General features: G+C 51.4%; 1 protein-coding gene across 2 annotated transcripts in view, besides 4 other annotated features; it reads left to right on the top strand.

The window, feature by feature from the left end:
• The window catches only part of MTCL2 (microtubule crosslinking factor 2), an 86,092-nt gene that overhangs the window by 27,268 nt on the left and 43,424 nt on the right, over nt 1-15,400 (top strand). For both annotated transcript variants that reach the window (NM_080627.4, NM_199181.3), the window contains exon 3: nt 7,059-7,217. In NM_080627.4, the coding sequence (NP_542194.2) occupies nt 7,059-7,217 (159 nt within the window). The remainder of the gene's footprint in view (nt 1-7,058; nt 7,218-15,400) is intronic.
• Nucleotides 279-568: a silencer, noted in NCBI's record as "silent region_12879". NCBI's record gives its function as "represses an Ori minimal core promoter by ATAC-STARR-seq in GM12878 lymphoblastoid cells {active_cell/tissue: GM12878}" and the evidence as "EXISTENCE:reporter gene assay evidence [ECO:0000049][PMID:35858748]".
• Nucleotides 799-858: an enhancer, noted in NCBI's record as "active region_17821". NCBI's record gives its function as "activates an Ori minimal core promoter by ATAC-STARR-seq in GM12878 lymphoblastoid cells {active_cell/tissue: GM12878}" and the evidence as "EXISTENCE:reporter gene assay evidence [ECO:0000049][PMID:35858748]".
• Nucleotides 8,049-8,158: an enhancer, noted in NCBI's record as "active region_17820". NCBI's record gives its function as "activates an Ori minimal core promoter by ATAC-STARR-seq in GM12878 lymphoblastoid cells {active_cell/tissue: GM12878}" and the evidence as "EXISTENCE:reporter gene assay evidence [ECO:0000049][PMID:35858748]".
• Nucleotides 8,659-8,718: an enhancer, noted in NCBI's record as "active region_17819". NCBI's record gives its function as "activates an Ori minimal core promoter by ATAC-STARR-seq in GM12878 lymphoblastoid cells {active_cell/tissue: GM12878}" and the evidence as "EXISTENCE:reporter gene assay evidence [ECO:0000049][PMID:35858748]".

Genomic DNA, 15,400 nt, shown 5'->3' with positions numbered 1-15,400 from the left:
TCCAGGAGTTAAAGGTTTCAGTGAGCTATGATTGCAGCACTGCACTCCAGCCTGGGCGACAGAGCGACAAGGTCTCTCTCTAAAAGAAAAAAAAGAATGAGTTAGTTTCCAAGTTCAAAGCGTACCTCTACTTGACAGGGCAGCTCCCGGGCATATTCAGATTCCAATCACTGGGTTGGGAGGGGTGGGGGGTGGTGGGGGAAGGCAGTAGGGAGGAGATGGGGAGGGGGAGGGAATAGCTGGAGAAGCTCAGAGGAATCTGCGTTTGGGCATATAGTGGAGGATTTCTGGGAGGGACACAAAAAAATGTCAGACTTCAGAAAGATGAGGAAGAGGCGGAGGAGAGGCTGGGACCTGGAGCTAGCTGCCGGCTGCGGCGCCTCCGTGGGTGGAGCTAGAGCAGCGGCGGCGGCGGCGGGGAGGCGGGTGTGGGGAGCGGGTGTGTGGCTCTCCGGAGTCTGGGCGGAGAGGAGGGGCCGTTTCTGTTGGGGTTTGAATTAGCCAATCAGCATCCCTCTTGCCCTTCCCTCCCTCCTCTCCCCACGCTGCAGCTGGAGCGCTGAGCTCATCTGCGGGCCTGGGGCCTGAGCTGGATGGACACCTCTGGCCACCACCCTGAGCCCCATGTGCTGGGGTCGTTCTGGGGGGTTTTGGGAAGTTATCAGAATGCTGCTTTCCCTGGCATCGTCTTGGAGGGCTTGATGGACCCGAGTGGGGAGGGGGCGGGCGCTGCCTAGGAGGGTACCTCTGGGACTTCCCCAACTTGCTCTGCCAGCTCCGTGGTCCATGCCCTGACTTGCCCCTACCGCTTGGTGCCTCATTTTCCCCTTCTGTTAAATGTGGCTTTTGACCAGCTGAATCCTCAGGGCTTTTGAGCTCCTGTGGTTTTATGGAGCAGAGGGGTATTGGTGGGGTGGGGTGGGGGGTCATGAATAAAACCACAGGCCTCAGTGCCCCCCCCCAACCCCCAGCTCTCCCTCTCTGCTGGTCCTCACCGTTGACAGGACCTACAGAACCTCGGTGGGGCCTTTGCCCAGCATGAGGAGGGCAAGGTCACGGGGCGGAGAGCTGCTGTGCCACGTTTGCTGTGTGGCCTTGGGTAAGTTCCTTCACATCTCTGAGCTTGTTTCCTCATGGAAAATGGAGATAAAATGAGTCCCTCCCTCTAGAGGTTTTTGTGAGGATAAAATGAAATAATTCAAGTGAAGAGAGTATTAAATACTAGGTCTGGAAATAAACATGTATTGGTTGTGGTTTTCTTTTTCTTTTTTTTTTTAAGGCAGGGTCTCACTCTGTCACCCAGGCTGGAGTGCAGTGGTGTGATCTCAGCAACCTCTGCCTCCTGGGTTCCAGCAATTCTCCTACCTCAGCCTCCCAAGTAGCTGGGATTACAGGCATGCGCCACCATGTCCAGCTAATTTTCGTATTTTTAGTAGAGATGGGGTTTCTCTGTGTTGGCCAGGCTGGTCTCTAACTCCTGACCTCAGGTGATCTACCCACGTCGGCCTCCCAAAGTGCTGGGATTACAGGTGTGAGCCACCATGCCTGGTCTGGTTGTGGTTTTCTTATTGCTGAGAAGAACTCACACAGCAAGTATAAGTTCTTCTGAGCAATACATCAGTAGGACTACTAGTAGTAGTAGGCTAGTAGGACTGGTTGGTAGTAGTAGTAGACTAGTAGTCTGGGGGCGAGGGTAGGCCAGGATCTCAGCCTCCCAGGGTGGATAAAAATCACCAGGAGGGCTTGTTCACAACATACATTCCCAGGACCCGTGAGGAGCTGAGACCGGATACAAGGAGGTCAGGTCCAGGGAATCTGGGATCTAAACTCTGGTCTAAAGTGACTCCTGTGGGAAGCCAAGGACACACCAGGAGCACGCCCCCTTCCTCAGATACAGATGTTGCTGGAGAAAATGTTCTGGCTTTGGGTTTCATTCCTAGGTGACCTGTGCAGGTTACCTCCCTTCTTTGAGCCTCACTTTCCTCATCTGTAGAGTGGGGGTGACATTCCTACCCTCCTGGGGTTTGTAGGAGGATTCAGCCACACGGAGTCCAGAATGCTGCCTGGCCAGGGGATGCTCTTCCTTTTTTCTTTTTTTTTTTTTTTTTGAGATGAAGTCTTGCTCTGTCACCCAGGCTGGAGTACAGTAGCGTGATCGCTGCTCACTGCAACTTCCACCTCCCGGGTTCAAGCAATTCTCCTGCCTCAGCCTTCCGAGTAGCTGGGATTACAGGCATGCCACCATACCCAGCTAATTTTTGTATTTTTTTAGTAGAGACGGGGTTTCACCGTGTTGACCGGTCTGGTCTCGAACTCCTGACCTCAAGTGATCTGCCGGCCTCGGCCTCCCAAAGGGCCAGAATTACAGGCATGAGCCACCATGCCCGGCCTTGTTTCTTTGTTTCTTTCTTTCTTTCTTGAAACATAGTCTCTCTTTGTCACCCAGGCTGCAGTACGGTGGCTGATCACAGCTCACTGCAGCCTTGACCTCCTGGGCTCTCAAGGGATCCTCCTGTCTCAGCTTCCTGAGTAGCTGATACTGCAGGCACACACCATCATGCCCTGCTAATTTTAAAAAGTTTTTATAGAGATGGGGGTCTCCCTATTTTGCTCAGGCTGGTCTTGAACTCCTGGCCTCAAGCAGTCTTCCTACCTCGACCTCCCAAAGTATTGGAATTACAGGCGTCAGCCACCATGCCCGGCCAGGAGCTGCTCTTTCGTGAGAGCTCCCATCCCTCTCCCTGAGGATCAGGATGACAGAGGCCCAGGAGCCGAGGGGCCTGATGCCTGGGGAGCAGGGGCTGGAGGCTGCTAGTTGCACTTGGCAGGAGCCAGGCCCTAGCGCTGTAAACAGTGACCTCATGGCTGAGTGCATTTGTTTATGGTTTAGGGATTTGCCCTGGTTTTCGGAAGCCGCAGCTGCCGCGCCTCCCTTAGTATCTCAGCCCCCCTACCTTGAGGGTAGCTGGGAGGATCAAATGGGATAGACACGTGGGGCCCTTCAAATGCCTGACACAGTAAGCCCACTGTTGGGGTTTATTATTAATACTTGTATTGTTGATGTTAATGTAATGTGTTTTCACGCATTGGGCCTATACGGCAAAATCAGCCTGAGAGTGAGACTTTAGAGTTGACCCACTCGATTTCAAACCTTAGTTCTATAGCCTTCCTAGCTGTGTGACCTTGGGAAGTGACCTTTCCTTTCTGAGCCTCAGAATGGGGATAATAATCAAAGTGCTTCCCAACGGGATGAAAAGCACGTGGTGAGCACCCGGGGGATGTTCCAGCTGATTCTGTAAATCACTTGTGAGGGCCGAGGGGGCCCAGGACCACTGAGGCTCACTGAGGAGCAGGGACAAGCCCAGGCCACAGGGCTCCTGCCTCCCAGTCTGGCTGCCTGGAGTTGTGATTTTTTTTTTTCTTTTTCTGAGACAAAGTATTGCTCTGTCACCCAGGCTGGAGTGCAGTGGTGCAATCTCAGCTCACTGCAACCTCCGTCTCCTGGGTTCAAGCAATTCTCCTGCCTCAGCTTCTCAAGAAGCTGGGATTATAGGCATGTGCCACCACGCCTGGCTAATTTTTGTATTTTTAGTAGAGACAGCAAAGACGGGGTTTTACCATGTTGGCCAGGCTGGTCCTGAACTCCTGACCTCAAGTGATCTGCCCGTCTCAGCCTCCCAAAGTGTTGGGATTATAGGCGTGAGTCATCGTGCCTGGCCTGTGCTTTCTTTTGATACAGCAGCCATCAGGGAAAGGGAGTAAATAGGAAAGGGATTCCATGGAGAATGGGGCAGAAGGGAACTGGGGAATCATGGAGAGGATGGGAGGGGATGAAATCCATAGAGTTGTTCATGAACCCCAGAGGATCCAGAAATCCACATGGATTGTGACTTCTTGATGGGGACTGGTAGCCTCCCCAGGTGGAGGACATGGTGGAGATGGGGCATCCCCGCAGGTGGAGAGGAGCTGGCCCAGATGGGAGCTCATTTGAGAGAGGAGCCCTCACCCCAGCCAGGGGTGCAGCCCTTCCTGGATAGTGGGTGGGGTTGGCATTTGAGGGCAGCCTCTTCAGCCCTGCGAGGGCAGGTACCACTCCCCATGTATATTCAGTCATTCACTCATTCATCTCCCTCCCTTTTCACTTGTTGGACCCTTGGATTTATTTGTTCATCCAACAAGCATTTATTAGGCACTTAGTGTGTGCCTGACGCTGCGCTGCTGCTGGGACACATAGATATGAATGAGGCCAAGTATGTCTGCGGCCTTGATCTCTGTACCCCACCACTCCTGCCTCCAGTGCCTAAGCAGGATGAGTGAGTGAGTGAGTTAGTGAGTGAGTATGAGTGAGTTAATGAATGGAATGTTGATCAGGACAGGGGCTTACTGGGTGACCTAACAGCCCCAAACTGGGGACCATGTTTAAATAACTTAACCTGGGTCACATAGCCAGTAAATGCTGGAACTGGGCTTGAATCTAGTTTTCCTATCTGCAAAGCCCTTGTTCTGATACTGAGGGGTTGTTCTCCCCACTTCGTGGATGAGGAAGGTCTGGTACCCAGAGAGGCTGTGGGAGGAGCCTCATGGGCCCGCTCCTGGCTGTCCTACGAGATCCTCGGGCAGAAACAGGCAGTGGCAGTGCAGGGAGGGAGAGGCCATGCCTGGTTTCCTTTCTGGTCGTTGTTTTTCCTGGCCTGCCTCATACATTGCCAAGGGGTCCGTGCCGAGCTGGGCTTCGGCCCAGGCAGAGGTCAGAGCCAGGGAGGGCCCTCTTCCCTTCTGGCAAGGAGGAGGCACAACAGTCATTTCCGAGACCAGCAGGCATGGGTTGCTGGGCTCTCTGCCCCACATGGAGTTCCTGCTGGCGAAACCTGGGCACCCCTGGGAAACCCTGGGCTATACTGGCCCCTCAGCCAAACCCCTGGGGCTCCCAGCCCAGCTCAACCCACACTGGCTTTGCGTGACCCTGAGTGAGTCACTTCTGCTCTGAGCTCCAGTTTCCTTGTAAAATGGGGACAGGATTGGGGTGAAGATGGGTGAGTTTGGCATGCAGTAGGTATTCACCAAACAGTAGTTCCCAATGTACATAGAGATGGAGTCTGGTTGCAATTTCCCAGCCCAGAAGGGCCTTCCTTCCTCATCCCTGCAGGCCTCCTTTCCTGGCTTCCCTCAACCAGCCAGCAGGGGACAGAACAGAGGGTGTCTACCAGGAATGGGGTGCTGTTGCTACAGAGTCCTGGACCAGGATCAGAGATTGCAGCTCCTCTAGCTTCTTTCTGTAGGGATGACTTGGACATCTGCCCACCCTTTGTCATTTTGGGCCTGTTCTACATCCCAGACAACTAGATATAGGTCTCAGGGTCACACTGTGACCTCCAGCGATCATGCCCTTCTCTGGGCTTCAGTTCCTTGGAGCAGCAGCTACCAGTCACCCAGAACTCACTGTGTGCAGGCCCCAGGCCAAGGCTTTTGTGTAATAGCTGGTTCAGTTATCCTGTCGGGCCTGTAAGGTTGACCCTGTTATCACTGCGTTCATTTTATAGTTGAGGAGACTGAGGTACAGAGAGGAAAATTGCCTTGCCCAGGACTACATGCTGGTCACTGGCAGAGATGGGATTCAGTGGTCTAGGGCCCATCTTCTCTGGGTTTCCACTGCAGCTCAATCCCCTCTCTGTTTTGTTTTGCTTTGCTTTGTTTTGTTTTTAGGAGACAGGGTCTCGCTCTGTTGCCTAGGCTGGAGTGCAGTGGCACAATCATAGCTCACTGCAACCTCGAACTCCAGGGCCCAGGTGATTCTTCCATGTTGGCCTCCTGAGTAGTTGGGCCTGTAGGTGTGTGCCACCATGCCAAGCTAACTTTTTTGGGTTTTTTGTAGAGGTGGGGTCTTGCTATGTTCCCCAGGCACATCTCGAATTCCTGGGCTCAAGCGATCCCCCTGCCTCGGCCTCTCAAAGTGTGGGATTCCAGGTGTGAGCTACCGTGTCCAGCCCCTCAAAGTGTTGGGATTACAGGTGTGAGCTACTGTACCCAGTTCCTCAGTCTCCTCCCTTTAAGATGAGCTTCTGGCCCTCCCACAGGCTTTTGTGAGGACTGGGCAAGTGGTGGCTGGGAGAGGCTTTGGAAGTGTGAAGAGCCCAGGTAGGCAGGCACAGTGGCTCATGCCTGTAATCTCAGCTACTCGGGAAGCTGAGGCAGGAGGATCCCTTGAGGCCACAAGTTCAAGACTCTCCTGGACCACATAGTGAGACCCCGTTTCTTTTTATTTATTTATTTATAGACAAAGTTTTGCTCTTATTGCCCAGGCTGGAGTGCAGTGGCATGATTTTGGCTCACCGCAGCCTCTGCCTCCCTGGTTCAAGCAATTCTCCTGCTTCAGCCTCCCAAAGTGCTGGGATTACAGGCACCTGCCACCACGCCTGGCTAATTTTTTGTATTTTTAGTAGAGATGGGGTTTCACCATGTTGGCCAGTCTGGTCTCGAACTCTTGACCTGAGGTGATCCACCTGTCTCGACCTCCCAAAGTGCTGGGATTACAGGTGTGAGCCACTGCGCCCGGCTGAGACCCCGTGTCTACATAAAAATGCAAAAATTAGCCAGTTGTGGTTATGCATACCTGTAGTCCCAGCTACTCAGGAGGCTGAGGTGAGAGGATTGCTTGAGCCCTGGAGTTCAAGCCTGCAGTGAGACATGATTGCACCACTGCACTCCAGCCTGGGAGACATAGTGAGACCCTGTCTCAAAAAAAAAAAAAAAAAAAAAAGCCTCAGGTAAATGAAAAGGCATTCCTGAGAACAGGGTCTTCCCAGCTTTCTGGGGCTGTGCTGTGATACAGATGCTGAGAGCTTGCGGTACCTAGGTTTGGGTTTTGGTTCTACTGCTTCCTTCATGAGTTTCTTGGTCTCTTTGTGCCTCAGTTTGCTCATCTGCAGCGTGGCAGTGATGCGATAGGAACCTGCCTGTCTCTAGGGTTGCCCTGCTGTGAAAGTCGGGTGGTCAGTGGGACTTGCAGTGGGGGCTCTCCTCAGCCTGCTCACATCCTTCTCTCTCCCACCCCTGCACAGGTCTCTAAGGACATCTCCATGCGGCTGCATAAGGAGCTCGAGGTGGTGGAGAAGAAACGGGCGCGGCTGGAGGAGGAGAACGAAGAGCTTCGTCAGCGGCTCATCGAGACTGAGCTGGCTAAGCAGGTGCTGCAGACGGAGCTGGAGCGACCGAGAGAGGTGAGGACCTCATGCATCCAGCAGGGCCAGCCTAGGGCAGGTGGGCACATGCAAGCCCCCCCAAGCCAGTGTCTCTGTGAGCCCCCGCTTGTGGGAAATGGGCAGCTTATGCCTCCCTGGCAAGGTTGTTTATTCATTCATTCCTCCAACATGCATTTCCTGAGCACCTACTGTGTAAATTGTGTGCTGGACACTAAGGTTACAATGGTGAACAAAACACACCCAGTTCCTGTCCTCAGGGAGCTCACGGGGTAATGAGAGAGAGAGTCATTCATCAAAGAACCACAGCCGCTGTGGGAGGATTAACTGAGAAAACATGCAACAATGTCAGGCATGGGGCTCAGCCCTCTGTGCCTCAGTTTCCTTACCTATACAATGGGGCAGTGGTGCCCTGAGTCATTGTGAGGACCAACAGGAATAACGCATGTGGAGTGGCTGCAAGAGACTGCGAGATCCTGCCATTTGGTGTGAAGTCAGTGCAGGGGCTGGGTCTCAGGCCAGTGTCTCTGGGGTACTGGTGCTTCCCGAATGTGACCCTGAGACACATTCCTGTCTGTGTTTGTTCATGCCAGTTCCTCCCCTGGCAGACCTTCTCCTCCTGTTGTGTGTTGGGTATACAGTGTGTTATGCGCCCTGCTTGACAGTTTATCTCAAACATTTTCATGCTAACAAGGTTGCGATCATGCCCATTTTGTGGATGAGCAAACAGCCCCTGAGAGAGAGGGAGGGACAACCTCAAGGCCATGCAGGGCTCAGGGGGTTCTGCAGAATGCCGGCTAGAAACCATCAGCCTAGGTGTCCCTTAAAGGCTGGAATCCCCCCATTCCAGGGTTCTGTGTTCCAAATGGCCTGGGGTGGCTTCTGGCCCTAGAGGCAGAGCCAGGCCTTAGCTCTCTGCCTGCTGATGAGATATGAGGATCGTGCATTCTTCTAGGGCACACTCCTCGCTGCAGGCGCTGCCTGCCTTCCTCCCCCGAGGGCGAGCCTGCCAGTGTCCTTGGACTGAGACACCACAGCCCAAGGCCAGAACATTCCTCCAGCCATCCTTCCCACTGGGTGTGTTGGTGTGATGTGCCAATGCCCTCTCAGTGTGCAGGGAGAGGAGGCGTTTGCTGCTAAGGGTGGCTAGCCCCCTCCCTTCATTCAGCTGCCCACCCCCATGGCCTGGCCCATAACACGGAGCACCATCTTCACACCGTCTTGCTGCTGCAACCCTTGATAGTGAAAAGGGGAGACAATTTCTGAAAGCATCTTAAGGTCACGGTACAAGTAATGAAACTGAGGCTCAGGAGGAACAGCTTGCCTGAGTTCACCCAGCCTCTCCTTAGCAGAGATGTGGCTGGAACCCTGAAGCCACTTCCCCTCTCTAAGTCTCAGTTTCTTTATCTGTGACATCAGGATAAGCAAGCAAACAAACAAGCAAAGCCTGCACGGTGGCTCACACCTATAATCCCAGCACTTTGGGAGGCCAAGGTGGGCAGATCTCTTGAGCCTAGGAGTTCGAGACCAGCCTGGGCAACATAGTGAAACTCTGTCTCTATAAAGAATGCAAAAATTATCCAGGTGTGGTGGTGCCTGCCTGTAGTCCCAGCTACTTAGGAAGTGGAGGCTGCAGTGAGGTGAGATCGCACCACTGCACTCCAGCCTGGGAGACAGAGTGAGACCCTATCTCCAAAAAAAAAAAAAAAAAAAAAAAGGGGGGTCCAGGCACAGTGGCTCACGCCTGTAATCCCAGCACTTTGGGAGGCTGAGGTGGGTGGATCACCTGAGGTTAGGAGTTCAAGACCAGCCTGGCCAACATGGCGAAACCCCATGTCTACTAAAAATACAAAAAAAAATTAGCTGGGTGTGGTGGCGGGCACCTGTAATCCCAGGTACTTGGGAGGCTGAGGCAGGAGCATCTCTTGAACCTGGGAGGTGGAGGTTGCAGTGAGCCGAGATTGCGCCACTGCATTCATTCCAGCCTGGGCGACAAAAGTGAAACTCCATCTCAAATAAATAAATAAATAAATAAATAAATAAATAAATAAAGCAGGATGATAACTGTACGCAGCCTATGAGGTTGTTTAGGATCATTAATAAGATTATGTAGCCATAGAATACTATGAAGAAATTAAAAAGAATAAGATAGTATGGCAGTTCCTCAAAAATTAAACATAGAACAATCATATGATCCAGCAATCTCACTTCTAGGTATATCCCAAAAGAATTGAAAGCAGAGACTCAAAGAGATATTTACACACCCGTGTTCATAGCAGCATAACTCACAATAGCCAGAGGGTAGAAGCAACCCAAATGTTCATCAACAGAGGAATGGATAAACAAAGTGTAGTACACATGTATAATGGAAAACTATTCAACCTTAAGAAGGAATGAGGCTGGGTGTGGTGGCTCATGCTTGTAACCCCAGCATTCTGGGAGGCAGAGGTGGGCAGATTGGTTGGGGCTAGGAGTTCAAGACCAGCCTGAGCAACATGGCAAAACCCCGTCTCTACAAAAAATACGAAATTTAGCCAGGCATCTTTGTGCATGCCTGTAGTCCCAGCTACTAGGGAGGTTGAGGTGGGAGGATCACTTGAGCCCAAGAGGTTGAGGCTGCAGTGAGCTATGATGGTGCCACTGGACTCTAGCCTGGGCTATAGAGTGAGACCCTGCATCGAGAGGGAGAGGGAGAAGGAGAGGGAGGGGGGAGGGGGAGGGGGGAGGGGGAGGGAGAGGGGGAGGGGGAGGGAGAGGGGGAGGGGGAGGGGGAGGGGGGAAACAGAAAAGAAAAGACCAGCACTTTGGGAAGCCAAGGCAGGCGGATCATGAGGTCAGGAGATCAAGACCATCCTGGCTAACACGGTGAAACCCCGTCTCTACTAAAAATACAAAAAAAAATTAGCCAGGAGTGATGGCGGGCACCTGTAGTCCCAGCTACTCAGGAGGCTGAGGCAGGAGAATGGCATGAACCCCGGAGGTGAAGCTTGCAGTGAGCTGAGATTGTGCCACTGCACTCCAGCCTGGGCGACAGAACGGGACTCCGTCTCAAAGAAAAAAAAAAAAGAAAAGAAAGTATTTGGAATTTATTTGTGAAATTTTTAAAAGAGGTAAAGCTTGTAAAGAGCCCTTTGTGGTGCCTGGTACAGAGTAGGTGCTCAAGAAACACTGGTTCACATCCTTTTGCAGCTGGTGTCAGTGAGGCTGGTCTAGCTCTCCTCGCGTGCCCTGTGGTGTCTCAGGCTTGTGCACAGGAGGCGGGAGCCTGTGTTTATTATTTGCTGTTTATCCTCTCCCTCCTCCGTCTCTTTCCTGACATGGTTTCTATGGAGACGAGGGTCCCTGAGCAATTCTTCTGCCAGAGCCTCAGTCCCATCATCAAGATCTGCCGTTGCCATCCTGACAGGCTGCCGAGGTGGTGCTGTCACCCGGCTGGGAACAGGAGCCCCTGGCCTGAGCTGATGTGGTTGCCATGGAGACAGCTCTCCGCTAGAGAGAAGGGAGGTGGCAGACCCTGGCCGAGGGCTGCGGTGGCACTGTTGCCCAGCTACCCTCTCTTCCAGTGTCACACCCCTCCTTGTGTTTTAGGCAGAAAGCCAATACGAGTGTTGACGTGATTTATTATGGTATAGCTGCTGTGTTTGAGCCCTCACTCTGTGCCAGGCACCACAGAAGCCTTGACCACACCAGCACATTGTTTAACCCTCCAACAGCCTTCCCACGGACATGGTGTGGTTGTCTTATTTTATAGGTGCCACTGTTTGTTGGCAATTTTAAAATCATGATTTAATTCCCATATCATACAACTCACCATTTAAAAGTGTACAGTTTGGGCTGGGCACAGTGGCTCACACCTGTAATCCCAGCACTTTGGGAGGCCAAGGCGGGTGGATCACCTGAGGTCAGGAGTTCGAGACCAGCCTGACCAACATGGTGAAACCCCACTTCTACTACAAATACAAAAATTAGCCAAGTGTGGTGGTGGGCGCCTGTAATCCCAGCTACCTGGGAGGTTGAAATAGGAGGAGAATTGCTTGAACCCGGGAGCTGGAGGTTGCAGTGAGCCGACATCCCATCATTGCACTCCAGCCTAGGCAACAAAGCGAGACTCTGTCTCAAAAAAAAAAAAAAGTGTACAATTCAGACCAGACACAGCACTTTGGGAGGCCGAGGCAGCAGGATTGCTTGAGCCCAGGAGTTTGAGACCAGCCTGGGCAATATATTGAGACCCTTGTCTCTACAAAAATTTAAAAAATTAGCTGGACCTGATGACACAAGCCTGTGGTTCCAGCTACCCAAGAGGTTGAGGTGGGAGAATTGCTTGAGCCTGGGAAACGGAGGTTGCAGTGAGCCAAGATCACGCCAGTGTACTCCAGCCTGGGTGACAGAGCGAGACCCTGTCTGAAAAAAAAAATTAAAATAAAAACAACAAAAAATAAAAGTGTATAATTTAGTGATTTTTAGTATATTCATGATGTTTTGTAGCGTCACCATTATCTAATTCCAGAACATTTCCATGGCCCCAAAAAGTAACCTCATGCCTATGAACAGTCACTCCCCACTCCCCCTTTCCCTCTTGCCCCCAGCAACCACTCATCCGCTTTCTGTCTCTGGATTTGCCTGTTCTGGATGCTTCATCCAAATGGAGTCTTTGGTGACTGGCCTCTTTTACTTAGCATCAGGTTTTCAAGGTTTATCCATCCATGTTGAAGAATGTAGCAGGACCTCATTCCTCTTTATGGCTGAGTAATCATCCATTGTGTGGGTATATGACCACATTAGATTTGTCCATTTATCTGGGTTGTTTTGGCTACTATGAATAATGCTGCTGGGAACATTCATGTGCACGTTTCTGAGATTCTGTGTTAGTTCTCTTGTGTAGATCCCAGGGAGTAGAACTGCAGGATGTAGACGTGACTGGGGAAAGACAAAGATGGGATTCAAACCCAGGACTCCACATCTCTCAAACCCGCACTGACTCTTCTGGTGTTGCCCCTATGCTCCTTGCCCCACCCTTGCTCTCCTAGGACCCTGTTGTGTCTTCAGAAACCTGGAAGAGGCTGCCCACTCCTGTGACTGCTTCCTTCCCTGGCACAGCCTTCTCATCCGGAATTCCTACCTGGTGGGCTAGGAAGGGGCTGATAGTTCAAAGCCCGGTTCTGCCTTTTTTCCAGACTTGGCACTTACTTGCAAGTGACTGTAACCTTGCGGAAATGATATAACTGCTCTAGCGCTTAGTTTATTTATTTTATTATTATTTTTGGGGGAGACAAGAGTCTTGCTGTGTCACTCAGGCTAGAGTGTAGTGGCACGATCATGGTTCATTGCAGCCTCAAACTTCCGGGCTCAAGAGATCCTCCTGCCTCAGCATCCCAAGTTGTTGGGACTATAGGCGCACGCCACCACACCTGGCTAATTTCGTATTTTTGAAAGAGATGGGGTCTCTCACTATGTTGCCCAGGCTGGTCTCAAACTCCTGGGCTCAAGCTATCTGCCCTTCTCAGCTTCCCAAAGTGCTGGGATTACAGGCATGAGCCATCGTACCCAGCCTAGTTTGTTTATAAAATTGGAATATTATCCCTACTTCTCAGAGGTGTTTGTGAAAATTAAACAAGACAAGCAAGTAAAGTGCTTAACACAGACTAAGGACTTATTATTTTCATTAGTGTCACAACCACCGTGAGGGCTGCGGGTCTGGAGAAGCATTTGTCTTAGTTAAATAAATACATTTCTGCTTCCTCTGGCAAGGAGCTCTGTGTCTAGAGCTGCCAGTTGCCCGGGAAAGGAGCAGCTACGTTGCCAATCTTCACGTGCAGTTGGCTCCATCTGTCCTTGTGACATTTGATTTGGGGCCAATGTTTAAAACACTCTTTGTTTTCTCCCCCAAGTGATCTCTCCCTAATCAAGAGCCACATGGCCTCTCTCTGTGGCCATTTCAGCCACTCAGGAGGAAGAATGAATGCCTAAATCTTTGAGGTACACCCCCAACCCCAAGTTCCTTCTAGAATCTACAGTAGGCCGGGCACAGTGGCTCACGCCTGTAATCCCAACACTTTGGGAGGTCAAGGCGGGTGGATCACTTGGGTTCAGGAGTTCGAGACCAGCCTGGGCAACATGGCGAAATCCCATTTCTACAAAAAATACAAAAAATTAGCCAGATATGGTGGTGCACACCTGTAGTCTCGGCTACTCAGGAGGCTGAGGCATGAGAATTGCTTGAACCTGGGAGGCGGAGGTTGCAGTGAGCCGAGATCATGCCACTGCACTCCAGCCTGGGCGACAGAGTGAGACCCTGTCTCAAAAAAAAAAAAAAAAGAATCTAGAGTAAATTTTGTACCTGAAGCACAGTCTGTGCTTTCAGTGAGACCTTTCCAAACATCTCCTCCAGATTTGGTGAAAATCTGCCCTGCTGTTTTGGCAGAAGATTCATTTTGTTCCTTGGAAGGTTGGCCTTTGTTTCTTGGCCAAAGTGGGGCAGGAAGGTGTTTGAGTGCAGAGGCCCCTCCAGAGCTGTGCTCAGGCAGCTCTCTCCTGGGCTGAAGGAAAGACAAGGGAGGACATAGCTCAGGCTTCTCCTAGAAGCCTGTAGACAGGGAGATGCTTAGAGGTACCACACTGGCTGCTCAAAGATGGCCTTGTGAGTTGCTGGCGAGTGGGGAAGCCCCTGTTGCATGCCAGGCCACAGAGTTTGTCCTCAGGGCTGGGCATGTCCCCAGGCCTTGCGGCTGCATTCCTGCTGGGGCCTAGGCACCGCCCTGCCTTGTCCTGCCCTCCCAAGGCCCAGAGCCAGAACATCTGCCTCTTGGGCAGAGACTGGCTTCATCCCTGGGGGCTCCACAAAGGGGCTCTGACAGGCCCTGGCTTTCTTGCGGGGTGCAGCCCCCCAGCCACCTGGCCAGCTGCTGCCGTGCAGAGGGGAGGAAGGTCTTTGTGCACTCTGAGCCCGCCTTGTTTTCCCTCCAGAATGGCAGGGCTGTGTGGGAGCCCACATGGCTTAGATAAGGTGGGGGAAGTGTCAGGTCCTACCAGAAAAGGGTGGAACTCGTCTCCTCTGCCCCCAACCCTGCTTTCTGGTGAGATTCAAGCCACTCAGCTCATTCACACCTTTTCTCTGCCTGCTGGAAAGGTGTTTGGTGACTTCTTGGGGAAAGTATATTTTAAAAACCTTTTATAATGACTTTTCCCTTCCCCCCAGCAGGTAGTAGTATGTGCTTAGCAGAAAAAGATTAGAAGATTCGAATAAGCCATAGGGAATTTCTGTGTGGATGGGGAGGTGCATATACTTCCAATAAGTTTTTCTATGTATACATATATGTGTATTTAAATGTAAACGTGAATATGCTTTTTTTCTTTTTTGGAGACAAGGTCTGGCTCTGTTGCCCAGGCTGGAGTGCAGGGACGTGATCTTGGCTCAATGTAACCTCCACCTTGCGGGCTCAAGCAATTCTCCCACCTCAGCCTCCCAAGTAGCTAGGACTACAGACACATGCCACAACACCCGGCTAAGAATATGCATTTTGTCTGTTTTGTTTTTGTTCTTGTTTTTGAGACAGAGTTTCTCTCTTGTTGCCCAGGCTACAGTGCAGTGGTGTGATCTCGGCTCACTGCAACCTCTGCCTCCTGGGTTCAAGTGATCCTCCTGCCTCAGCCTCCCGAGTAGCTGGGATTACAGGCATGCACCACCATGCCCGGCTAATTTTTTTTTTTGTATTTTTAGTAGAGACGGGGTTTCTCCATGTTGGTTAGGCTGGTCTTGAACTCCCGACCTCAGGTGATCCACCCACCTCGGCCTCCCAAAGTGCTGGGATTATAGGCGTGAGCCACTGCATCCAGCCAGAATATGTATTTTTTAATCTAAAAAAGTAATATAAACTCAGTGAAGCAAAAATATCATTAGAAAAGCACACAGATGCATGCCTAGCATACCTCCAAGGACAAGCTGCAGTGCTCTGGTTACGTTGGTTGCCTTGGGGCGGGATAACTGGGTGACTGGGTTCACTGTATTCTTCTATGTCCTTTTTGAATGTTGAACCATGCAACTTTGTTATCTATTCAAAAATAATAGAAATAATAAAACCCATAAATTAAAGAAGAAAGCCTTCCCTAACTGCCTCCTTCAATTCTACTCCTCAGCCTGACCCAGCATCAGCAGTTTGCTTTGTATCTTTCCAGGTCTTTCTCTAGTCTCATACAATGCAGGTTTC

Source organism: Homo sapiens, chromosome 20 (assembly GCF_000001405.40).
Source record: "Homo sapiens chromosome 20, GRCh38.p14 Primary Assembly".
NCBI lineage: Eukaryota > Metazoa > Chordata > Mammalia > Primates > Hominidae > Homo > Homo sapiens.
Note: the sequence above shows the minus strand (reverse complement) of the source record. Positions and strands in the feature narration are given on the sequence as shown.